The sequence below is a fragment of the Homo sapiens genome, chromosome 12 (genome assembly GCF_000001405.40).
Source record: "Homo sapiens chromosome 12, GRCh38.p14 Primary Assembly".
Taxonomy (NCBI): Eukaryota; Metazoa; Chordata; class Mammalia; order Primates; family Hominidae; genus Homo; species Homo sapiens.
The window spans coordinates 23,945,034-23,972,657 of record NC_000012.12 but is presented as its reverse complement, the minus strand read 5'-3'; the positions used below and the strand labels follow the sequence as shown (position 1 = coordinate 23,972,657).

Below are 27,624 nucleotides of genomic sequence, written 5' to 3'. Positions count from 1 at the left end.
GCCTGGCGCAGTGGCTCATACCTGTAATCCTAGCACTTTGGGAGGCTGAGGTGGGTGGATCACCTGAGGTTAGGAGTTCGAGACTAGCCTGGCCAACATAAAAAAACCCTGTCTCTACTGAAAATACAAAAAATTAGCCAGGCGTAGTGGTGGGCGCCTGTAATCCCAGCTACTCAGGAGACTGGGGCAGGAGAATCACTTGAACCCAGGAGGTGGAGGTTGCAGTGAGCAGAGATTGCACCACTGCACTCCAGCCTGGGTGACAGAGTGAGACTCCATCTAAAAACAAAACAAAACAAACAAACAAAAAAACCATAGGAAGAAAAATATTTTTAGGAATCTGACCAGGATATTTTAGTGGCTTAGCATTTTAGTTTCATAATCTGATACCCTGAAATGTTTATGCTCAGCTTCTGACTCCTAAGTAAAAATACTCAACTGACATACCTTGAAGTAACGCTGATATCACTAGTTTTATTTATTTCATGTTACAGTCCTATGGGTGTCCTTGCAGGGCAAGGTTCTATTGCAGTCTACAGGTCTCCCCCATCCTTAGGCCAAAGCAATAGAATTTTAATCTCTTTTGTGTTCTGTGATGCTATATAAGACTACATTGAATACCTAACACATATTTATTGAATGCCCAAATGGATACTACAGTAAAAATTTGAGAACCATTCATTTATTCTAATTTTACTCTTTTTATAAATTTTTCTTTTAGAGCCTCAGTGTTTTCGTCAATAAAATGGAAAAAAATAAGTACCTATTATTACCTATTTGGAGGAATATGTAATTTAGTGATATAAAGTACATGCACAATGTTTAGCACTCAGCAGCTTTCAAACTCTGTTGCTTTTCCCCTCCCCAAATCTGTTATTTGGCAAAATAATTAACAGACTTGGGAAGGGTCAAAGAATGAACAGGGACTCTAGTTCACATTTCAGAATAAGAGAATTATTAAAAGAATAGAGAATTATTCTCTTCAAAATAATTATTTTTTAAATAACTATGATATATACATATTTCATTTTCTATACTTGGCTGATGTGAAAAAAGTATGAAGCTATTGCCTTCTGTGAATCAATGATATAATTTACATATTTAATTTAATATATATATATATATATTCTGAAGTGGAAGTAAACCTCTCCACTGTAGGCAATGGGGTAGTGGTAATTGTGGTTAAAATCCCCCTGGATAAATTTATGGGAGTTGAATAAAAATGAGTCAGCTGATGGCCAGGCGCGGTGGCTCACACTTGTAATCCCAGCACTTTGGGAGGCTGAGGCAGGTGGATCACCAGGTCAGGAGATCTAGACCTTCCTGGCTAACACGGTAAAATCCCGTCTCTACTAAAAATACAAAAAATTAGCCAGGCATGGTGGCGGGCACCTGTAGTCCCAGCTACTTGGGAGGCTGAGGCAGGAGAATGGCATGAACCCAGGAGGCGGAGCTTGCAGTGAGCTGAGATCACGCCACTGCATTCCAGCCTGGGCGACAGAGCAAGACTCCCTCTCAAAAAAAAAAAAAAAAAAAGTCAGCTGACACACCTACTCAGATGGCTGTACTACTACTAAATAATAACAAAGTATCAAATGTTCACAAGCATATAGTGAAATTGGAGCCCTCATACATTTCAGGTAGGAATGCTATGGAAAACAGTGTGATGGTTCTTCAATAAGCTAAATATACTATTACCATTGTGAGCCAAGTGCTGGCATGCACCTGTAATCTCAGCTACTCAGAGGGCTGAGGTGGAAGGATTGTTTGAGCCCAGGAGTTAGAATCAAGCCCATTTCTTAAAAAAAAAAAAAAATTATATATATATATAAAGTCCCATGTGACCTAGCAATTCCACTCTTAGTTATATACCCAAAAGAATTGCAAACAGGGACACCAGTGGACACCAATGTTCATTGCAGCACGGTTCACAATGGTCAAATGTTGGAAACAACCCAAGTGTTTATCAACACATGAATGGATGAACAAAATGTGGTATATTCATAAAACAGAATATCATTCAGCCATAAAAAACAATTATACATGTTACTACATAATCTTTGAAAACTTTATGCTCAGTAAAATAAGCCAGACACCAAGAGAAAAATACTCTATGACTACACTTACATGAAATATGTATATATAATAGGCAAATTCATAAAGACAGAAAGTAGATATGAGGTTACCAGAGACTGAAGGGAAGAGAGAATGGGGTGTTATTCCTTAATGGTTAGAGTTTCTGTTAGGGACGATGAAAAAGTTTCGAGAACAGATAGTGGTAGTTGTTGCACAACATTGTGAATGTAACTAATGCCACTGAATTGTACTTAAATAGCAAAGTTTGTAAGATATATATATATGTTATACACATTAAATTCTATATGCGAATTATATCTCAACAAAACTGTTAAAAAACCAAAAAAAAAAGAAGTCAGCTGAAAGTTTTTGAGGTGCTCCTTTGTGAAGAGGGAAGGAGTCATTATTTTTCCTTTTTTTATGATAGACTGGGATAGGCCATACTGAATAATGTAACAGAGTAAAATAGAATATTATTGTGATAAACTGTTGCACAGCAAGAATGTGTTATATGTCAGTAGGGTGTACTTGTGCACGCTGACATGCTTCTTCATTTTGGCAGAGTTCCCATTTAGCTGGGGCAGGGGACAGTTGGCCACAGAACTTTGAGGTCCTTCTTGTTGGAAAGTAACTGTGGAGTTTTGCCGGCACACTTGCGTCCTTGAGCTCATGTAAAACATTTGTACTGTTTGTTCGCTGGTTTGGTAGTAAACCAAAAGAATGCAATCCTGAATCATACCCACCCATCTTTGAACTGGTACCTGATGCTATAGTCTGATCTGGCTCAATATTGTTCCAGATGTTATGACTTTTTTACCGATGTAAAGCTATCACTTTTCACCCTGAAAATAAATGGAATAATTAACAACTCTAATGCTGTAACAGTAAAAACTAGGTTGAGCTAGCTTAGTCTGGACATAAAGAAGAGTGACTCAGAAGAAGTAGAACTGAAATTTGAAGTGTAGCTAGACATTAGCCAAATAAAAATTTGGATAAAGACAATTCCAAACAGAGAAAATAGCTGAGGACAAAAGCCTTAGTTTAGCAATAACTTCCTATATCTAGATAACAGAGATAAAACTGCTGTAACTGCCACGTGGTAGCAATAAGGAAGGTGTTGTGTAGGCCATACTAAAGGTTTTAGATTTTATTCTATGTGAGAAATTGAAGACTCTGAAGGATTTTAAGCATGGCAAATGGCGTGATCAGATTTTTGTCTGACGAACATTGGTCTCGGTACAGTGTGGGAAAAAAAATGGATTGAAGAGGGCAAGAGTGGATAGAGTCAGACTAATTAAGAGAAAATTATATTTTAGCAGCAGATGGTGATGCTTTGGACTTTTACAGTGACAATGACAGTAGAGACAATTACATGATTCGAGATATGCTTAGGAAATAGAACTAGAAAGACTTGGAGAATCAATAGATTTGGGATGGTGAGGGAGGGGAAAGTATCAAGAATAAATGACTTGTAGGTTTTTGGCCCAAACAATTAGGTGGATGTTGACTCCATTTATCATGATAGAATATTTGGGGTCAAAGGTAGAGAGGTGATGAGTTTAATTTGGGGACGTGTTGAGTTTGATATGCCTGTAAGACATCCACGAAGACATATAAAATTTAGAAGAGGTGTCTGAAATAGAAATAGTCTTGGCAAATAGACAAAACTAACAGATAAAATTGCCTAGTGGGAGAGGGAAAAGTGAGAAATCTCAGACCAAGCATCTCGAAGATTCAAAGGTTGAGCGTAGAAGAAACAATACTCAAAGAAATCAATGAAGGGGCAGACAGAGAGGTAGGATAAAAAGCAGGGGTCCTGCTGCAATGGAAGTAAAGAGAAGGGAATGCTGAATAAAGGAGAGTATCTTGGTCTGTTTTGTGCTGCTGTAACAGAATATCCAAGACTGGATAATGTATAATGAAAAGAAATTTATTGGCTTATGGTTCTGAAGGCTGAGAAGGCCAAGATTGAGGGGCCAGCATCTGGCGAGGGCCTTCTTCCTGTGTCATCTCAGGGTAGATGGAAGAATGGGGTGGGGAGTAGGGGCGGATTTGTCCTTTGATAAGAAACCCACTCCCGTGATAACAAACCCACTCCCACGATGACAGCATTAATCCATTCATGAGGGCTTAAACACCTCCCATTAGGCCCCACTTCCAGACCATCACATTGGAGATCAAGTTTCCAACATGTGAACTTTGGGGGACATATTCAAACCATAGCAGAGGGCTTAGCCAAGGTCAAGTAGTATAAGACTTGAAGAGTTTCCACTGGATTTAGTAATATAGAGGTCACTGTTAATCAAATAGAGTAGTTTTGATCACACTGTATGTGGATAAAAGCCATACTTTATTTCACTGAGAAGTGAATGCAAGGTGGTTGTGTGATAACAACAAATGCAGACATCCCTTTGAAGTTATTTAGCTGAAAAGGGGCAAAGAAACTACTAGGAACACTAGTAGAGTCCGCATTCTGGCATCAACTATTTATTTGACTTTTGGCAAATTACTATCTCTGATTGTGTGCCCTATTCTTTATAATGAGAATGATGCAAACAGGAGTGCCTACCTCAAAGGGTTGGTAGAAGAGCTACTGCATTCAAAGTGCTTTGTAATAGAGCTTTGCTACTTAGTAAGCATTTAATAAATGTGAGCTATGATTATCCTTGGTCTGGATATTGTAATACCCTTGATATTATGGGATCTTCTTAGCAACAAAATTAAACTTAATATTCTTCAAAAATTTTCTATTTAGGAACACCAAAGCCAGAACAATCAGAGGATACAGACAGGAAAAACTAAGGACTGTTTATCCTGAATAATAATTTTAATCATTTTTTACTAATACTTAGTTAAGAAGTCTTTCCAATCCTTCATTCTCTTGCAACCAAAGCTATGTTATTATTTACACTAACTATCATCTCACAATGTTTTATTGCAGAGATAAAATGTAGTGTTTTTGTTGTAACCATTGGCTTAAAATTATTCTGAAATCACAAGGATATTTTAAAATTATTGTTTTTAGTCAGAAAAGTCACCTCTCTGGGGAACTATTATTCAATATAATTTATAGATTTTATATCTATCTTATTTCTACTGTATATTGCATTATTGTCTGTATAATTTTATGAAAAGAAACTTGCATATGCTGTCACCAGATTAAGAAATAACTTAAAATATTTTGCATATTTAGTTACTTTTTATATTTTCTATTTGTGTATATTTAATATACTTTTTTAAAATACCAGTTGAGCTTTTCATTTTGCTCAGTTTCAATTGACTTTTCATGCTGTAATGCATCTATTTTAAACAGAGATATTTTTCACATTATAATTTAAAATGTTCAGTTCATTACTATGGACCCACCTAGTGTCGACTTTTCAAATTCATTTCCTTACTGTGTGTGTATGCTTATGCTATACATCTTATATATTGAGTAATAAATGAAATGCTTAAATAATCTTAACTTTTAAAAGCTCATTTCAGATGCTTAATGTTTTTGTTTCATTTCTTATGCTATGCATTGTATGCAACATAAACAATCTGAAAATAATTGACTATGGGTTAAACAGACAGCTGCTAGAAAGCATCTCATTGCTCTTTTCAGCATCATTCACTCAAGAGGAAAATATAATCACTGGTATGAAGAGTAGTCTTATTGAAAGAGGTCATTTTATGTAGGAATTTGTGTGATTTGTTTTATATGCTGGTGTTACTTTTTAAAGTTTATAAACAACACTATTGGCTCTAATAACTGTGAATACATATTACGTTTCAGTTTACAAAGCATTTTTTGTATCAGTTGTAATATTAAATGTTCATACCATCTTTGCAAGATAAGTATTGTTATCCCCAGTTTACAAAGGAGGCAACTGAAGATCATAAGAGAGGTTATAGGTCAGAACTAGAATTTGAACCTAGGTTCTTAGACACGCACATAATAAATGTTTGTGTTTATTCATTATATCACTTCTCAGATTTTTTTAATCTAAATCAATATATATCTATACCTGGCTGGTATGTATATAAAGTGTTGATGTTCAGAAATTGGCCTATTTGCTAATTAAATTAATAAAATTTACCTGTACTGGGCAGTTCAATATATTTTTCTTCATTGCATTTCTTTAATTTCACTTCTGGCCAAATCATTTCATTTAAATCAACTTAATTTTAATGTGTTCATTTTCACCCCAGAATTAAATGTGTTACTTAGATGTTTATGATGACAGTTACTGAACAAAATTTCCTGCCTTTCAGTTTCTGCCTAAATACAAGCAAACTTGTTTCTTCCCTCATTCTGGTAGGAGAAAAAGTCAGTACAGGCCCTTTACCCAAACAGCTTTTTTTTTTTTTTTTTTTTTTTTTTTTTTTTTTTTTTGGATATTGAGTGTCCCTCTGAAGAAATCTGGGGAGGCGGGGATTCTGGAAAAAAAGATGTTAGATTCACAATCATCTTGCCCTACAATCCTAGGCCTCAATTTCAATGATTGAATATGTTCCTATGAAAGGACATTTTTGCTGCTTCTTTGAAATCTTGGATGAATAATGAAATAACCTGCATTAAGCAATGGACAGCACAGAAACTTTTATGGTTGAAGATCATTGTGCTCTGGACAATCAGTCTCAAGGTACTACATAGCCAATTATAAAAATGCAAAGAAATGGCTGGGCATGGTGGCTCACAGCTGCAATCCCTGCACTTTGGGAGGCTGAGGTGGAGAGATCACTTGAAGTCAGGAGTTCAAGACCAGCCTGGCCAACATAGTGAAACGCCATCTCAACTAAAAATACAAAAATTAGCCAGGCATGGTGGTGCACGCCTGTAGTCCCAGCTACTAGGGAGGCTGGGACAGGAAAATTGCTTGAACCTGGGGGGCAGAGGTTGCAGTGAGCCAAGATTGTGCCACTGCACTCCAGCCTAGGTGACAGAGCAAGACTCCATCTCAAAAACAAACCAACAACAAAAACAAAACGAAACAGAAAACAATGAAATGTTGCTTAGGTCTGAACGTTTGTGGAGTGGTTGTGGTTATCACAATCTGAGTATCACAAGAGGATGGGAAGCACTAGCACAGATGGTCTGTCCACAATTTGTGCAGGAAGTTGTCCAGTGCTAGAGAACTTTACCTCTGGTCTTCGTGCCTGAGGTCCCCCCCATCTAACTGTGGTGGCTGGTGTGGAGGAGGCAGGATCAGACAGTTTTGAACCTGAAGTGGTCAGTAAAACCAAAGGACAAGCTGATAGGAAGGTAAGCCTTCGCCTCAAACGTAGTGCAGGCCACCCAGGAGTGCCCAGACACATGGTCATTCTTAGCGGTCAGGCCACTACATATGCCCTTGACCACCTGTTCCGGACAATGAATGTGGACAGGTTTTACAGGTTCCACCAGAAGGTCAGTTGGCAGGCAGGGACACCATCGAGATAATCCATCTGTTCCACGGTAGATGGTGTCCTGCTAGGGTGCATAGAGAATGTCAAGGCTGACAGGCACACCCAGCACATTCCCTTTGTGCTGTGCTCGCCTGGGGGCTGCTGGGAGCTGACCACGCGCCCCCTGGGGGCTGCTGGGAGCTGACCACGCGCCCCTGTGCGCTAGCCCTGGTGCTCACCATTGCCCAGGTCTGCTCCCCTACTGGCTGGTTCTTCAAGTTGATTTCTTCGCTAAAGCAAGCCTAGCCCATCAACTTTTTGATATTATGGGTCATCTGTCGAAGGCTCATTTCTCAAGGTGGGCCATAAATTAATGAAAATATGTAAATGTACTTTTAATTGTATAATCAGATGCCCATATATATGTATTTATATGAACAAACACACATTTATATTTAAAATAATCTAATAAAGTCATTACTGCTCGATTTTAGATGCTTGGAAAATGCTGAGGTAAATGATTGTCCTGAATTATTAATACCTCATATATTACTTATATAAATAGAAGTAATAAAGCACGAGGCAAACAAAGAAGCATCCATTGTTGTGCTGGACTTTACACTTGTAGACGGTTGACAGTCTTCTCTAGGACGATATTATATTAACTCCCTTACAAAGTTGGCCTTGAAGGAGATGTGGGTATGCTGTATACTTGTGGGTATCCTATATTGATGCCACTATGCTAACAGGACAACTATGTATCTTTCAAACAAGCATAAAATATTTCATGACTGGTATTTTTTTGTCCCAGGAATGGTTGCAAAGTAAATGAAGGGGATATTAAGCAGCTTTTTCTAAGGAATACGTGTGAATCGTGGGAAACATGGTGACAGTAATATAGTATATAGGGATAGTGAAAAAATAATAGATACAGGGAAAAGACAAACTTGTGATAATTACAACGAGGCATTTTATGGAACATATTATAAATATTTATGACTATTTTAATTTTTTTTAATTTCCCAATATTTATCTCCCATAATATATCTTAATTGGTTCCTGGAGCCATTTAGGATTATTTTGGTGTGACGCTATCAAACTATACTATGAAGAGAGAGAGGTTTGGTGGAACACTATTCCCACCTTTTCCACACAAACACAAATTCAACCCTATTTTTTAGTGTAATATTTGTATTCTTCCTAAGTTTTTTTTTTGTTTGGTTGGTTGGTTGGTTTAGTTTGGTTTCTGATAAAGTGTTTCAAGGCCAAAATGTTTGAAGACTACTGTTTTAATGTTTTATTAACTAGTTATAACTAGTTTAATAACTGGTTTATTAGCAGCCTGGTTTATTTGCAGAATTCCTGTTTAAGATAGTATATACCTCTAATCCAAAAGCTATCCATTGTATGGAATATATAGCCTTCCAGTTTTTTTTTTTTTTTTTTACTTCATTCATGCATGCCTGCCTGCATGTATACTAGACTCAGGACCCCTAATCCAAAAACTATCCATTGTATAGAATGTGTAGTCTTCCAATTTTTTTGTACTTCATTCATGCATGCCTGCATGCATGTATGCTAGACTCAGGATTTAGTCGGTTGTTGTAATTCTGTTGATAATATCCCTGAATGCTCTCTAAAGTCAGGTTGTTAAATTAACCTGCCTAGTCCTCCCTGATACTGAATTTTGCTCCTATATGGAAATGCCAGATTCAAGGATCAAGGACATTCCCCTGAATCCTGCATCTGCTTTTATAATTTAAAAAAACTGCAGATATGTGAGGGAAAAGCATGATTATATGTATTTGACTGGAATTTGACTGGAATTATAGAGAAATAGAAATGAGATAAATTTACTCTTTTTGAAGTAATAGAACATAAGTGATGTCTCCTTTGAGTTTTCATGACTAGCCTAATGCTCAGGCAGCATTTCCTATATTCTCCTGTGTTTTGTCAGCATGTTAGTTGGATAGATTCCTATTTGCCAACTGGGTTAAGAATTAAATATGTTTTAATTTAGAGGTTATTTGGGTTTTTGGTACTTAGATACATCCATTAAAGTATTCTTTTATGAAATCGTGCAGTTTCCTTATAAAATAATTTGTTTGCTTTCTTTAAACCAGAAATGGCTGGTCATCTTTAACATATGTGGTGGTATTTATTTTTCCCCTGCCATGCCTCTAGAATATCAGAATGATAAGGGGAAATCATTAGATTCTATTCATTTAATTTAACAGTTTTAATTGGACAGGATCATTATTACATTTTCTTTTAGTGAATTGAGGGGTTTTTTTCAGTGAATCAAAATGTTCGGGTTGCTTATGAAGTTCAGCCCTTGGCATAATGTCACTAATGATTTCTACAGTACCTTGAAATAAAGCAACAGGAAAATCTATCAACAAAGAGATGTAAATGGAATATTTTTAGATCAAAAATAAGACTCAAATCGTTCATACTAGAAGAAAAGGACAACAGTGGGCAATTGCATATTTGATCACTTTAAATGCAATCAAAATAGCAGTGCCTGCCTAATTGCAAAAATAGCATCTGGACACATGGAAAAATGGAATGGCAGTTGTATTTGACAGGATTATTGCCATTATAAAATTAATAAAGAGTTCCGTTATGTTATGAAAGCAGAGGCTAGTCCATTATTTTTTCTCAAATATTTTAGACATTTTTAAATTTCAGCATTGTTTCTTTCATCAGTGTATTTTTCCTGGAGTATGCCTTCATTTGTTCCTTTTTAATGTATAATTTTTAACGTGGAGACCCTATGTTTTCTTATTGAAAGGAATGAAACATTTGCTTGCGTGCGTACCTGCGTCTGTGTGTTTGCGTGTGTGGTTTACATGGGGTGAGGGAGGGCTATAGAATTTATGGTTCCATTTTGCCTGAGATGAACCCTGTTCTCCTGGTCTTTTAAGAGTCTGTCACCACTGACTATCTAATTGTCCAAATTAATGGCTTTTCAAGTAGGTCTTTTTTGTTGTTTGTTTAACTCTTTGTGGTGTTTGTTCTTTCTTATCCTTTCTAATTTAGTGCTTTACTCACCTTCTCACACAGTCTTTTATACTCATGAAATAAAATATCACACTTTTTTTTACACACTTCAGTGTAATATTTCCATCTCTGCATTGGAAACCTCTACCAGATGCTCTACCATTATGTGAAATTCAATGTAACTTATCACTTTTTCCACCAAAAGTTTCCAATTTCCAAACTTCTGTTAATAACATCACTGTTGTCAATGGACATTGGTACTTCACTACATGTTGTTTCTTCTGTTTTAATCTCTCTTCTTTGAGGAAGTAATATTTAAACTTACATGTAATGTTGAAAGTGGAAGAGCATATTCTAATCTTGAGAAACAGATTATGGAATGGCCTAGGAATACCAGGATACACAAATAGGGTCCTGAAGTCTTCTGATTTTTTCTTCTGGTAAAGAGTGCAGTGGTACTACATACAATGCTGTGAAATAGTCTTGAGGATACAATAATGAAAAAGAAGCATTTATTTTTATATAGCTTATAGGTGAGTGGTGGGAATTTATGTTCTACTGGGTGTTACAGAAGAAGAGTGACAGGTGATGGATTAGGATAAGATTCCAATAGGGGGTGATACCTCAACAAATCTTTAAGGATGAGTAGACGTTAGCCTTATAAATTGGGAGAAGGGAAGGGGGGAAGATACTCCAAGAGTAATGCACAGTTCAGACAAAAGCTTGTTGGAAAGAAACAACAGGCTGTGTGCCAGCAACTATACCAGTTTGGTGTACCTAGAACATGAAATTCATGATATGTAGGGAGAGATGAGGCTGGGTAAGGAGGCCAGGCCAGAGCATGAACAATCATATATGATATGTTTTAAGCAGTTTTGATTTATAATGTCAGTTTTCACCTCCCAAACTTGAGTTATACAAACTTCTTTAAAAAAATTATAGAGTATATTCAATAGGGTGTTTGAATCTCAATTAAACATTTATTTCAGAAACTAAAATTCTAATTTAAGAAAATAAATTCAGGATTATCATTAGAAATGAGAATTTTGGTCATTCTAACAGGTGAAATAATTTTTTAATAATAAAAATGTAACTTTCAGGCATCTGAAAACAGCTATCTGGGGTCTGCAGATCTCAATTTGAAGAACATTATGTATAGTTGATAGGCAACCACTGGATAGTTTGTAGTTTAATTAGATGTATATTTAACTTTTAAAAAACATAGTAGATTAGCTTCACATTCAAAGTAAAGAAAAAATACAAAATATATAAAAAGTTCAAAATATATGCAGTGAAAAGTTTTAATCTCACACCTGTCCCCTATCTGTCCAGTTCCCACTTCCTCCTACTCCCACCATTATAACCATTTTAATTTAGTTTTCTGTGTGCCTTTCTGAAGTTTTCTTACCCACACATAAGCAAAAGGAAATTTGATGTCTAATTTTTACACATTTTGTACTATATGAATTGGTGTTCAGTTACCTACCTTGTTTTTTTCGCTTAATATATATCAATTTATATATTGAATATCTTTTTATATCAGTGTATAGATAAGTTCCTTGTTTTTGTTAACAGCTGTGTAGTATTCCATCGTGTTGTTGTATCCCTAATTAGTGGACTTCAGGTTCTTAGTAATCCTTTGCTATTATGGTAACTGACTTCATATATATATATATATGTATATATATATATATGTATATAAATATATATGTATATAAATATATATAAAACATATATATATAAAACATGGATTCACATGTGTAAGCATATATCATGTGTGAAAGCATATTTCTAACATAAATTACCAGAAGTAGAATTGCATTTGTAATTTTGGTAGGCATTTCCAAATTGCCATCCATAAAGCTTGTTTCAGTATACATTTATACTAGTAATATATAAGAGTGCCACTTTACATAGGTCACAAACACAGTGTGTGTGTAAGCTTTTGCTGTGTTAACAACCCCGTTCTCTCTGTGGCTTACTTTTTCTCTTCTTGTGTAAACATATGTGGGCTCTGGTTTGGCTGTGGGTCAGATGCATGTTGGCTTGATTGGACATGGCTGGGGTCCGTTTCTCTCCAATTCTTTTCTTCTAGGACCCAGGGTGGTGGACTAACCCCTGCTTGGTATATGCTGGTTTCACAGTGGAAAACAAGAATAAGAGAAGGTGGCTGAGCCAAATCAAACATTAACATACTGCATTGACTAAAGCAAGTGCTATGTCTGAGATAAAGTCAATAGGTGTAGGAAGTAAACTCTATCTGCAGGGAAGTATTGCAAGGGAGAAAACAAATTATGAAATGAATGATATAGTCTAATACAATGTTCCTATAAGTTTTTATATTTTACCAAGCTGATAGTTTATTTAAAAAATTGTCATATAGTAGTTGAAAATTGCATTTTTCATTATAATGGAAGATGTTGAGCATCTTTCATCTTATTTAAGGACACTTTCTATTTCCTTTTCTTTGAACAATTTGTATTGCTTGCTTATTTTACTATTGACTTGTTGATCTTTTTCTCATTGATTTCAAAGAGCTCTTTATAGATCATGGAGGGGGTAGCCCTTTCCTTAGATATCGTCATTGTTGTCTTTTTATTTCTATAGATGCCTTTTGTCACTTTCAAGTTTTTGGTGTTTATATAGCTGGATTTATAAATCTTTTGTTTTATGGCTTGTGGATTTTGATCCATTGTTAGTAAGACTCTCTCTTCTTTAAGATTATATTTCAGTTCACTCATGTTCCCTTCTAATAGTTTATGATTTTATTCTTTATGTTTAGATATTTGAGCATATAGGGCATTTTGTTGAATGCCATCTATAGTATTGACTAACAGTGTATACTAAATTCTCTCTATGTGTTTAGGTTTTTTCTCTATATTCTTTTTATTCCATTGTATTTTCAATTCATTCAATACTACATTGTTTTCTTCATTGAGATTCTACATTATGTTTTAATTTCTAGTAAATTAAGCCCTCATTCTTTTTCTTTTGCAAAATTTGTCTGATTATTCTTGTTTAATTTTATATAAATTTTGAATTAATTTATTTAGTGCTTTAAATATGATAGTATTTTAATTTTGAACTCATTACATTTATACATTAAATTAGGAAGAATTGATATTTTTATGACATTGATGCTACCTATTGAGGAACTTGGTATGTCTTTTCATATTGTATTAAAGCTTTCTTTAAATAGGTCTTGTATGTGAATGAGTTCATCATAGATATTTTGTCTATGTTACCAATGCTAATGGGGTCTTTTCCCCATTATCTCTAATGACTAGGTGTTATCATATATATGAAAGATATTGATTTCTACATATTACTTTTGTTCCCCACAGTAATTCTAAATTCTCATAGGGTTTCTGGGGGTTTTAAATTGATTCTTTAATATATATTTTACTAAGTATAACAAATTAATTCTAAATTCTCAAAGTTTAGAAGTTGGTCATCTCAGTTTGATATCTTTTTTTTTTTACTTAAAATCCCCACATAATTTTGTTTATAAAATAACACTTTTATAATTTTATTGTATATTTTAGATAGGCTTTCTTATAGAAACCTAGCGTCAATTCCTAGTGAAATAGACACTAGGTTTGTAATCAAAAGACTTTGGTTCAAATTGTTTTTCTGCCTCTTACAAGCTGTGAAATCAGAAGCTAGTTAATTTTTGTCCTTGTATTTTTATTTAGATTTGTTAAAAATTAAATTAATCTGTGTGAAAATTATTGATTTCTAGTTATAAGAACTTGATAATTGTTAATGAAGCAGACTAGGATGTCCATATACTGGACTAGGTCATAATTCCATGAAAAAAGTTTATTTTTGCATTTCTACCTTTTATGAGAGTACTCTGCCCAGAAAAGATGGTCAGAAAAAAAACCATTAAGTGTATTGATTCTTTCCTTTTTTCTCAGTATGCCTCATAAAATTCAGGGCACACACTCAATATAAGAACAATGCTTATTAAGTTGATTTGTTTACTAAGATTAAGAATAATGGCCCAGTTATGAAAACTGAGTAAATCTGAAGTTGGGTTTCTGTACCACGAAGAGTATTGATGACCTTAGATATATGTTTTTATTTTTTTAAGATGTGCTTAGGATACTGGTATATTTTACAAATGCTTATAGTTTTCTAGTCTACACTTTGACTCTATGCAAGATTTAAAAATAAATATTTCTGATTATAGACCCATGATTTATTTAGGGGTATTAACAGTTAGGTGTTTTTCAAATAGTAATATACCATTTGATACCCAAGCAGTTCTTCAGCATCAGGGCAAATTACAAACATTAATTTATCTTTTTTCTTATTTATGAAAATATGCAGTTTATACATTAAGATTTTAATATATAGATGATTTAAAATACGGGTATAAATTTAAGATTCTATAAATGCTTGTTGAGTAATTGAATGATTACATTCATTTGGTAATGCGTATATTATATTTTCATCCTGTGCATAGTCCTTCTGAATTATTTTCTAAATTGTGGCAGTCAGTCATTTTATTAACAACAGCATGAAAAAAGCAAGTTGTCTATATGGAAGCAGCTCTTCAGAGTGTCCACACAATGCATTATAACAACTAGGTTTTCTTGAACACAGTTTGCCTGTCAGGATTTCTAACATTACAACTTTTTAGTTTGCTTTTGAACTTGTCATTTGATATTTTGAAATTTTTGATAGAGACAACAACCCTTGTATTTATTCCCCCCTACGCCAATCACAGTTCCATCACACACGTGAGGTATTTACTGTAGTAAGAGACTAAACTGCTTTTAATTATTTCACTGAATTAAGTAATGCTAATAAATATAATTGTACTTGGAGAAACTAAAATCTCAGGCACGAAATTTTTTCAGAATCACAAATAGATGAACTTAGTCATAAAATTAGTTTTGAAAACATCATTTTTTGGGGGACCAATTAAGTTGTCCTGGTCATTTTAATTTAAATGAACTTATATACATTAACTTTAATTAGTAACAGTTTATTTTCCTCACTGTCTTATATTGCTGTATGAATGTAGAATTATGCCATAGTTTAGAAGGCCAAAATAAACTGTCAACTACAAGTAATAGTCTTAAAACTGTAAAGAAGGACTTAGGAAGGCAAGAAATTTTATTTTTGAAATGATAAATTGATTTATCAAAGAAGAGATTATAGAAACAGAAGTTTGTAATTGAAAGGGACCTTAGAAATCACATTCTCTGAGACATTAAAGACTTAGGCAATGGCCGGGCATGGTGGCTCATGCCTGTAATTCATCCCAGCACTTTGGGAGGCCAAGCTGGGCAGATCACCTGAGGTCAGGAGTTCGAGATCAGCCTGGCCAACATGGAGACAAACATTATCTGGGTGTGGTGGCATGTGTTTGTAATCCAAGCTACTCAGGAGGCTGAGGCAGGAGAATCACTTGAACCCAGGAGGTGGAGGTTGCAGTGAGCCGAGGTCACACCACTGCACTCCAGCCTGGGTGACAAAGTGAGACTCTGTCCCCCTCCCCTTAAAAAAAAAAGACTTAGGCAAGACCATTGCATTAATAAGGAAGGAGTAATAGAGGCTCCCTTAGTGCAGCAGTCCCCAACCATTTTAGCATCAGGGACCAGTTTCATGAAAGACAATTTTTCCATGGGGGTGGGAGAGGTTAGGTGAGGTGGGAGTATGGCATTGAGATTAAATGGTTCCACCTCAGATCATCAGGCATTAGACTCTCAAGAGTGAAACCTAGATCCCTCACATGCACAGTTCACAATAAGTTTTGCCTTCCTATGATAATCTAATGCTGCCTCTGATCTGACAGGAGGCAGAGCTCAGGTGATAATGCCCACTGCTCACCTCCTGCTGTGGTTCATAACAGGACATGGACCAGTACTGGCCTTGGGGGTTGGAGATCCCTGCCTTAGAGCACAGGTTTCCTAACTTTCAGCTTAGCCATAATTTCTTCCCCTATACTGTGCTAGATACAAGTAGACTGAACATTGTTAATAGGCAACATTCTCCTTTACTATGAATAAGATTTGTCATTCACTTAGTATACAAGCAAAGGAGAATATGGAGAATAGACAAATGTAGTCAACTGAAAAATGAAGGAAATTTTTCAAACATTTTCATACTTACCTCAGGTTTAACTCTCATTTCTCCTCTGATTAGTTAATAAATGAAATGTATACATTCACGGTGGGAAAACCTCTCTGAATGTTGTGTACTAAAATATTTTATAGACATTACCTAACAAGAATGTTACCTAACAAAACTACATTGTAGCAAGATAATGGAGCCACTTTTCACTTTGCTGCTACCTCTAGGTAAAATGTCTTGCAGGATGTTCCCTGAATTACTTTCCAGGTTGAAAAATTACAATGCAGAAAGTTTGAAGGCCAAGAGCACTTTTATTTGTATGATCCCACTTGAATGGTTTTTCTTCTTATGGGTTATATGGATTTTTTTTTTTTTACTCAAAAGAAACCTTCCGATTTTTACCACGAGGGTGATTGAGTTACATCATTTTCATCTTCATAAGCGAACAAACCATTAGACATCACCATGTGTATCACAAGGAGAGTTGATAGTGTAGAGAGTAAAAAAATAAATTGAAAAGCATAAATTGAGTAGGTCTTATTTTCCTAATTGACAACCTTTGCCTGAAATAATCGATTCTTTCTATAAGACAGAAATTCCGTTGCAAAGGAGTTACATGGGGACCAGAAAATTGGCCCCTGGGTTTTACCTGAGATTGTGAAACTTGTAAACGTATTAGGCAAGGAAACCTATTTTAGAAATTATTCTTAAAAATAGAGCCAAATTACGTGAAGAGTAGTACTAGTTCTGGTGATTGTTATCACTACAAATGAGATAAGAATACTATTCTTCTCTGTTTTAATTGTGTGAATGAACTATCTTTTATGTTATTTGTGAAAGTGGGACAGTCATTGCTCATCCTAACTTTGTCCAAAATTTGGGCATTTGGTTACCATAGAAACATACTTATGAAGCACTTTCCTGTATACTCTATACTTAATTGCCATTATGCTGTATTTGAGATGAACTAAAATTCATTGCCTTTAAAAACTATGCAGAAAATATGGCATATTAATAATTTTGATGTTCTCCAGCCCTGCACTTACTAGTTTTGGGACTTCCTCATTCGTAATTGGGATAAGTCTACATATCGCATTTAGTTGTTTTGACTATTAAATGAGATAATGGCTTTTATTATGTATCATATAGATAGAAATTCCTCATAAAATAAAAGCTTTTATTTAAAATTATTTCAAGTTATTCTGAATAAGAAGTTAAATCCTAAGATCAAACAGTGAAAGCAGTTACTGGAAATGACATCATTTCTTTGAGAGAAGTATGAAACTAGAGTTTCTAAGGTGAAGGTGTTTCTGAAGAACACTGTTTCTTCAAATATGCAATCTGAGAACAATTCATCTGTGTATTCTAACCAACTGACAATAGAAAGAGTATGAAGTTAGAAAAACCTTGAATTTGTAGGCTATTGTGTACCAGTTCCTTGGCATACATGTATTATGGTGGACTGAATTTTAGGTCTTTAAAAAAGAAGATAGGCTATAGAATGCCTAAGGTATTTTTTGAAGAAGTCCACTATTACAAGACACTAGTCTAAGAGTTTTAAGCTACATGTGATAGGTCAATAGTGAGCTCACCAGGCATCTGGTGAATGACTCACAGATGTATATTGGTTGGAAGTTTCCTTCTTTCTTTCTTTCTTTCTTTTTTTTTGAAAGAGGAAGTGTCCTCTTTTTAATTTTAATTTTTTGTGACAAAGTAAATAACAGCACAGGCAAAAGGCATTTTCTTAATGCCCATTGTGTCACCTTAAGGCAATAAAATGTTAGTATTGTCTGACACTGATATGCTTTAAATACATTGTGATTATAATATTAAGAGTTTTATTTCTCAAAATAAGTTTTCCAAATTCTATGAGATGTGAAAACTAGGGTGATGGTAGGAATTCATATCAAATATGGAAGTGTAATTTGCACCTATGACCACATATTTTTATTTCAGGTATTAAAATAGAAGATACTTAATGATTCTGATCTAAAATAGAGGAATGAAAATATATCCTTTTAAAATGAGGACAAAAATAGTAGAAATGCATGCTGGAAACTATACCTGAAAAGGGGTTAAATTTGAAAATAACTTGTTTGTGATTTTAAAAGTTCTTGATAGTCTCTTTGAGAATTTTCCAGCAGTGTTCTCTAGCATATCTTATATTCCTTAGCCTGTGTCAATCCCCTTTTTATATCTGCAATGGAAACAACATGAGCTCAAAAGCATACTTTTTCATGTTCATTCCATTTTCCATTATACCGATGCGGCAGTGTCAAAAAGACTCATTCAATGTAAAACTTTTATTGGGTTACTGTTGCACTTTGGTCATCTCTGAAAATATATTTTATTTGTGTATCTGTGCTTGTAGATCATACTTATTTACCATTTTATGTATTATTCAGTTCTTAGCACTATGTTTTGTTCATTTGCTTTTTTATTTTTGTTTTAACTTTTCTCACTACATCTGCCTCAGAAGGCTTGAATACTCAAAAATTGATTTGAAATTTGGTTTTATATACATATATATAATTAGAATTGTTATAACTTTTTAAAATTCTTTTATTAAAGCCATAGCACTTAACATATTGGTAAGCATTTAATAGATGTTAAGTGAATGCAAAAGTATGTCTCAACCCAGATGTATTTTGAAACCTTAACAAACATCACATTGCGGTATTAGTTGTGATGTAAAGAATATCTATAGTCAATTGAATATCTTAAGCTTTTCTGATAATTGAAAAAGAATTTGGGTTTAATAGATGCGCTAGTCATGAACACATATTTAATATTTAAACATTTTAACGTTTAATGCAAAATTTAAAAGATTCAATTAACAGTATTTTAATATTAAACATTGTATTGATTGGATCATTTTGATCATTTAATGAAATAACCCAAGACAAAATTTAACCAAAACATTTTGGAACAGTCTTTCCTTTTGCTGATATTCTAAAGTCTGACAGAAATGCTAATTTTCAATATAGGATTCAAATGAAAGAAAACTTTTATGGCTTAGAGAGGTACATTTTAAAATATTCAATTAAACCATCATATACAGTATTAGCTTAATGACAGCTTTTATAAATTTTATTTTTTATAACAATTACCTGAAAGCCTTTCAGGTCACTTAAAGTATGAGTACCATCTTGGGATTTTCATCTAACTATAAATTCTGGAGGATCAGTTTATTCTGCATTATGGTGTCATAAGTGAAATAGATAGAAGTGGCTTCAAGCAACAAATGGGCTACTAACCAGTTGAATGACTTTAAATTCTGTTTGCCCAAGTTAAACAGTGGGAAAATTAGGGAAATACATACCTACCCCTTTCTACTCTGTAAGATCCATGAGCTAATTTATGTGAACAAAATTCCTTATGATCTTAGAGTTCCATTAGTTCAAATTATCATTATTAGGATGATCATTATTTGGCAAATTTTCTGTCTAGTTCCTCGTCTATTTCAACTCCTTCAGCATAGATGATTGTGCAAGAAATAATTTGTCTTTTGAATGGCTACAGTAATGTTTGCAGAATATATTGAAGTCAAAAAACTAACTTTCAAACCATTTAACATTCTCTTCTATATTCTTTGTGTTTATTTGGCATATGTACAGATGTATACATATATTAAGTGCCAATAAAATCAAAATCAAATATAAGGAAGATTCTAATATGAGTATCTTTTCTTTATACTATAGTTGGCCTCAAACACTCATACTCTTTCTTACCTGCTCTGGTGACCTTCTAGATTAGAGTTTCAAAGAAACAACCAGAGGTAGTAGCTGTAGCAAGACAGCAGCTGGGACCATACGGATCTCAGCATCCTGCCTTATGGCCATTATCTTTGTTTCTATCTTTATGCTGCCACTATGTCTCCTTGTGCTCTCTCTGCGTCCTCTCCTCCCGCCTCCTCCTCTTCCTGACTCCACTCCCATGGCTCCCTGTAACTCACCCATCCTCCTTCTTCACTTTTTTTCTCTATTGATATAAGATAAGCAAGATTTTTCCTAGTTAGGAAAAAAATTTTAAATATTTTTAAAAGTGTATATAGCTATGCAGCTACTATACCCTAATTCTCATAACAACCATTAACAAATGAAGAAAAATATAATTTTTGTATACATTATCCATTAGAGTATATTAGATTGTAGGTCCCTTAAGGGCTGAAAAAATAGAGATTTAAAATAAATGCAACAATTTTTTCATTTTTCTGTGTGGGAGTAGGTTGTTGCTGTAACAAAAAATAATTTGAGACTAACAACAAGAAAGAATAGTGAGTAATATTCTTCCCCCCTTCCCCAACTGCTGAAAGTGAAAATCATGTCAGCATCAAGTCATTTTTGCCACATCCCTTGTTAACAGCTTTTTCAGGGTGGGTCATAGTTCTATGTTTTGTTAGTGTCTTAACTCCATAGTGACATGCTTAAATCTTATTCCACATTGATTTTGTAGTGTGTGTGTGTGTATATATATATTTTTAGAACATCTCCTGATGATAGAATTAAATATTAAGTTATTATCAACTTGTCTAAAAATTTATAAGCTTTGAATGAAAAATAAATTTACTAATATAAGTTCATAATTGATTTTTTTCTCTTTGGAATATGTGTATGATGTATCACTGTGAATGTCTAAAAAAGTAAACTTACTGTTTGCCTGTCTCCAGAAAAAAAAGTGGGACCTAATCAAACTGCCGTGGGGTCAACCCTTGTGGTTTTAAAGGCCCTTAATGTTGTCCAGCTGCAAAATAAAAGGAATTGGGAGGGGAAGTTGGAAGGAGTGGAGGGGGTTGGGGGGGAGGAATGTGTGGAAAAGAACAGGGAGTCTGGCTTTTATTTTTTTTTTAAGTGAGTTCAGTGCCAGCCTGGACATTGGCTGTACAGACTATTGAGCCATTGTCTGCTCCATTTCCAGAATAGCCCCCAGTTAATCACTTCGGCTTTGAAGGGAATTTCCTCGTGGAATTCTCCACAGAAAATCTAATCAACTGACCTGCCCTCTCAACAATGGAAGGCTTTTTTTTCCTCTCTTTCCCTTATTGGGGCGGGCTCTGTAATGTAGCCTTTTGTGCAGAATGAACCCTCCCAGTAGGAGTGGAGAGCGTGCGTGAGTGAGTGTGTGTGTGTGTGTGTGTGTGTGTGCATGCGTGTGTGAAGAATGCACACTATCTCCTGTTGGTAAGTGTGTGCTTACTCCCTGACCAGATGCTGCGGTGCACGGGGCAGCCACCATCTCTGCATGCATGTCTGTGTAAGTGTCTCTCTCTCTGTGTGTATGTGCCTCTGTCATTTCGTGTCAAAGGTACATTACCTGATTACCTTTCTCGGCTGCCAGATTTTTATCTAGATAATTGGAACTGCTATGGAGGCTGTGCCTTGCCAGCCAGCTTAGAATCTGTAAAGCCATAGTTTGTCCACCTTGTTATCTGTGGCTGCCTGGGCAGAGGAAATTAAAGAGATCCACAGCCAGGGGGGCGCTTCCTACTCCTGACCTCCCCAGCGATCCCAAACAGGACAGTTTGTTAGTACCGTCTTTTTGTTTTTATGTTTTGATTTCGTTTTGGGTTTTTGTTCGCTCGTGTATGTTATTTTGGCATGTGGATACCTATTCCCCTCCACATCGCACATCGTGTTTTATGGAGTTTAGAGCTGAGGAAACTTTGGTCGGGTTGCCAGGACGTTCGCACCACTTTGCGGAAAGCACGAGCTAACAGTGAGACCGACAGAGTGAGTGACAAGTTGTTTACAGGTTTCCTTGAAGGGGCCTCTGCTATATTTCAATCTGTCAAAGTTGCTTTTCTTCCCTCAGAACAATGCCTGATTGTTGTGTGTGTGTGAGTGTGTGTGTGTGTGTGTGCGTGTATTTCCGTGTGTGAACGGAGAGAGCCTAGAAAAGGGTGAGAAGGAATAACAATTCTTTGTGTAAAAATGCTATTACTAACATTAAATTTTTTGCTTAATTAGTTAATAAATGCAGTTTAATCGAGCTTCTGTTATTATATAGACTAGGTTTTTAATCAGCAGCAAATACGTTTTACAAAATCATACTGTTCTGCGTGTGTATGTGTGTGTGTGAGTTTTATGATTTAGAAGACAGAGTATGGGAGACGTGTTAAATGAGTTGACTTCTCACATTCAGTGATGTCTAGAAGAGAGAATTAAAAGGAAAGGACAGGCACCCTGAGGTTGTCTAGAGCCTTGCAGCCGGAGCGTGTGGCTCCGCGGAGGGGGGAGCAGCCAGACTCCGCTGCTGGAAGTGCACTACCCCTTTAAGAGACTGGTCAAGGAGTCCTAGGAGAGAGAGGAGGGGAAGGAGGGGGGGAGAAAGAGAGAGAGAGAGAGAGAGAGAGAGACAGAGAGAGAGAGGGAGAGAGAGAGAGAGAGAGAGGGAGGGAGGGAGGGGGGGAAGAGACAGAGAGAAAATCAATTGGTTTAGAAGGTTTGGACTCACTTGACAGGTTCAGTTGGAGACGATCATAGGTGGCTGCTGTGACAAAGGGAAATTGTGCTTTTCCAGCATGCTTACTGACCCTGATTTACCTCAGGAGTTTGAAAGGTGAGTACAGTTTTTTCCCCCTAATATATTGAAGTACAACTCTCCCATTTTACAGTAGTCTCTGAATCATTGGAAGATGCTCCCCCAAAACGTGTTTGTTAGAGAAGCCTTTAGCTAGGGCTTCTGCAATCTTGTTAGCTGATTTTTTGTTGTGATTGCCCGGACCAAACTGAACTGATTTGCAAAGTCTCCGAGATTTCTGCTAATGTTTTTAGGTTGCGTCCTATAACAGCAAATTAAATGAACCTTAAGCATCTCTCTCTCTCTCCCCAACTCGCTGCTTCTGTCTTTCTCATTCACTCTCTTACTTTCTTCCTTCATTGATTGTTTTCTCCCCACCTTTTAAAAACGCTTTTGTGCAGAATGTTACCATTTTCAGCATCTCTGTCTCATGTAATTTCTAGGGTGACAGAAGGTTTTAGTGGTGCTTTAAACGGAGGCTATAAGTTCCTATTTGATCCTTCCGTAAAACTTTGGAAGCTGCTCAGTAAAGCACATGACCTTTTGTTGATATAAGAGAGCGTTTTTTCCCCCCAAAGAAAATTTAACATCATCGCTATATTAGATTACTCCCTAAGTGTCAAAAATAGGGGCGAAAAGGGGATAAATGGAGCTGTTCCCTTTCTAAGTTTTAGTGGCCACTTTTTGTGTTAGCTGTCTTGACTGAATTTTAATTTACTGTATTTTCCCCTTTTGCTATGATGGGAATAGTGTATTTGTAATTAAGTTGTTCCTATTTAGAGAAATATCTGCAGCATCCTTTTATTTGATGTTGTTGCAAGTAAAGCAGGGCTTTGAAAGAATTTTAGCCCTCTTAATGTTCCTATAAGTACACATTGCAATTTTTAAATTTGAGTTCTTATCCCAGCATAAGTTCATTTTTTTGAACTATAAATAGAATTTTGTTTGCCATTAAAAAGAATTCAAACTTTGTATTCTGTATGGTGAATTAAAAAAAAAAAAGCTAAAAAAAGCCAGGATGCATGATACCCAGGCTTTTTTTCATTTTCATGAAAGCTACCTTCTGTATAAACATTTGTTGTATCTGACTATGCAATGCAAGCTAGGTGCTAGACCAGCTGGTTAAAAATATGCTAAGTCAAGCTGTTCATCGCTCAAACGACTGAATTTGATATGAAAAGACGAAAAAAGAAAGGACAAAGATTAAAACATTCTAGAAGTGAAGCAATGGAAGAGAAAAAGAGTATTGAGGATAAAGTAACGCTTGAATGTGGTCACATATTAGAAAAGCCAGTATCAAATCAGGGAAGAAAGTAAAATAGCCAACACATATACTTCGGTGCTGTCATCTTTCTTTGATTTCTTCTGTGTTTTTTTTTTTAATAATTAAATTGCATCTTTACTAGATAATTCCAGCGAATGTTTGAGCTTTCTTAACAGTTTTGAATTAAAATTTTCACTTCTATATATTAACTCTTTAATTAGTGAGCTTTTATTTGCAAATATAGCCTTATATCATAGGTAGATGTTGAAGTTATTCATAGTGGAACATACTGTACATTACCTAATGTAGCGATTTGCTAATTTAACACAGTTAAGTTTTCTAGAATGCACAGAGTAGCACTTAAATGATAATATTCTTTAATTCTAATTATACTTTTTGCAAATACAACTCTGAGGCTGATTTGTAAGCCTGTTAACAGATTGTACTTATAAAAAGGTAGTTACATATTAACAGGCTGTAGCCTATTTCTCTATATAGGCAAGCTTCCTGCTGTGAACTTTATTTGTATTTTTTTTTCAATTATCTCTTTTTAAACTAAACTTTTCCCTTTCCTATTCTGATGCTCAAATCTGTTAACATCTTTTTTCCTCCTGGTGGGAATTTCATTTTTTTTTTTCACCCAGAGGCATGCTTTTCTAACTAGCTAATTAAATAAGCAAGTGATAATCAATAGGGTTGTTAGTATGACTATCATATTTAGAAATATTAGTAGCTAAAATAATTCTGAAAAATGTCACACAATATAACGTTCCTTAATAATTTCCCCTGTGGTTGTAATTGGTAATACATACAAAGATCTCAGCAAATCATTACTATTTGTTTACATTGAATTTGTACGGGTGAGTGTCTCTATAGGCACCCATGCATGATACAGTGTATCATGTAGACACAATATTGAATATTTATATTCTTCAAAGGAGGTATTTATGATGTAACTAAACTATCACATATAATTAGATTTTTTGCCTTTTCAACTATTTGCAACTTTCATTGAATAAATAGGTCATTTCTATTGACTGTTAATTTTTATTCTATTGGGTCACTTGCTATAGATGAATTTCCCACTTAAACTTAGAAATCTAAAAGAAGACTTCTAAATTTCTTTGTGAAATAGAGAACTTTGATCTAGAGGACATAATAAATTGCTTAGGGTTCATGTACTGTAAAAGTTTTATGTGATCATTTTTACTAATTTCATTGGTAGAGTCTTGTCCATCTTTTATTCTTCCCAGCCTGTAGACTATTTGAACTTTAAGGAATATTCAGAACTTAAATATCAGGATCAAAATTTGGATTTAGATTTGTATATGTCTATATTATCATCCCTAGAAATGAACATGGTCAGTACTCTCAGACTAATAAGCAGTTGTTAAATAGTTAAGAAGTAGTAACAATTTCATTGTCTGTTAAAAATATGCAGGAGGTAGTGCAAATAGAACAGTGATTCTAAAAGGTAAAGAACTTGAAATATTTTTATTTTCAAGCATTCTTGTGATAAACTGATTATGATTACTGAAAAACACAACTCCAAGGTGGGAAGCAAATGGGTGTATATATTCTAAAAAATTATTTGTAAGGAAAGTCTTCTACATTTTACCGTTTAAAGGAAACATAGCTGGCAACATGGTCTAAATGTGAGTAATAGCATCATTAGAATGAACGCCCGAAGTCTCCCCACATTTTTAAAAGAAGTCAATAAATTTATATATTTAACTGAAAGTAGATAATGAAAAATTGTGACTTAAGGTTTTCCTTTGAGAATGTCACCTACTTTTTGATATTTCAAGGATGAAAAGAAAATATTTGCCTTAAATGTCAATATTAGTTTGTTCATGATAAGTAAAAATGTCCATTTTTGATAGTTTCTCAATATTCTATTTCTTTCCTTTTAATTTTATCTGTCCTCTTTGGTTGTAACATAATAGTTTTGTGTCTAAGCTTCCCGTTACAGTTTCTAATTGCTTTATGTTAGAAACTTAAATAGCAAGTGTAAGACGATTGCTTAAGAAGACAGTTCTGATAATGTCTAGAAAGGAGAAAAAAAGTTGGGATTGAAAGTAGTGGGATTATGCAAATTAGGTTGTTAGTATCACCTATTTGATTGCTTCTCCCAAATTGGTGCAGACAACAGACAGCAGATTTTCTACATGTTGAAAGGAACACTACAATAGTAAAACCTTCTGCAATAAAAATTAACTTATTTACTTCACATTTCCATCAAATTTATTTCTGGTCATGCTGACTAAATAATTTTTTTCTTATTAGGACACTTTTCAGTGTTTTTCTGAAGAAAGAAATATATATCAGGTGCTGTTACAAACTAATTCGTAAAATTCCCATGAAAAGCTACTGCTAGACATTTGCAGAAAACTACTCTCTGACATTAGTGGTATTTTAGTTACCTAAAGTTTGACCATAGTCATGAAATATTTATGACACAGATATATTTTGCTTAATTAAAAACCTTAACAACAACAACAAAAAAATCCGTTGTGCTCATGAGTGATAAGTACATTCAGGTTAGCAGGCACACTCTAGGTGTGAATCACAGAAAAGTTATCTGTTCACATTCTGTCACCTAATGGCAACTGTAAACCTGTAAGTTTGATTTTACGTTTTCAGGATGTTCTCATAGGCTTTGATAATTTTATTTATATTTTATTTACTACTACATTGTAGAGGAGACAATGTCTACAACTGAATATAGATTTTAATTACCGTGTCAATAATTTGCAAGCTAACTGAGCTAAGACATTGGTTTGGAATGCAGCTTGCATGAGGCAGTTCATAAACCACATTTCTATCACTCTCATGCTGGAATACTGTCCTGAAGACTTGGCAGGAGACCTGACTGATTACCAGGAACAATTAAGGGTTAAATGTCAGGTGACATTGTGTACTGCTCAGTTTTTAGCAGGTTTGATAGACACAGAAATGTGCAAATATTATGATTACTTCACATATTGGTGTGTCCTTATCTTATGTTTCTCAAATATAATAAGCACATGTTAAAGTATTTACCTGTTCTTAGGGAGTTTTTGACAAAAATCTTGTATACGCATCATACATGAGAGACATATAATAAGACCTGTTCTGATTCTTTAGCACATTAGTCCTCCACAGAGTTGGAAACTATTTCATATGGATTATACTCCTAATGCATTTAGAAAGCAAAATTACATTCATGGGTAAAGGCTGATTTTTATTGTCTGTTTTCTCTCCACTATCAATTGTTCAGCAACCTAATGAGTATATTGTGTAATGCAGATGTGCATTATGTAGGC

The 27,624-nt window shown here is 34.8% G+C and overlaps 1 protein-coding gene across 41 annotated transcripts in view; it reads left to right on the top strand.

Moving 5' to 3' along the window:
- SOX5 (SRY-box transcription factor 5) overlaps positions 1-27,624 on the top strand; it is a 1,033,147-nt gene that overhangs the window by 589,993 nt on the left and 415,530 nt on the right. For 7 of the 41 annotated variants that reach the window (XM_017019889.2, XM_017019888.2, XM_047429451.1 and 4 more), the window contains exons 1-2: positions 21,731-22,265; positions 22,997-23,094. The exons of 22 other annotated variants lie outside the window; for them this stretch is intronic. In XM_017019889.2, the coding sequence (XP_016875378.1) occupies positions 22,134-22,265; positions 22,997-23,094 (230 nt within the window). In that variant the 5' untranslated portion in view covers positions 21,731-22,133. Of the gene's footprint in view, positions 1-21,730; positions 22,266-22,987; positions 23,095-27,624 lie in introns of those variants that run through there. 12 more of the 41 variants (XM_047429455.1, XM_047429454.1, XM_047429453.1 and 9 more) reach the window with 5 other exon arrangements.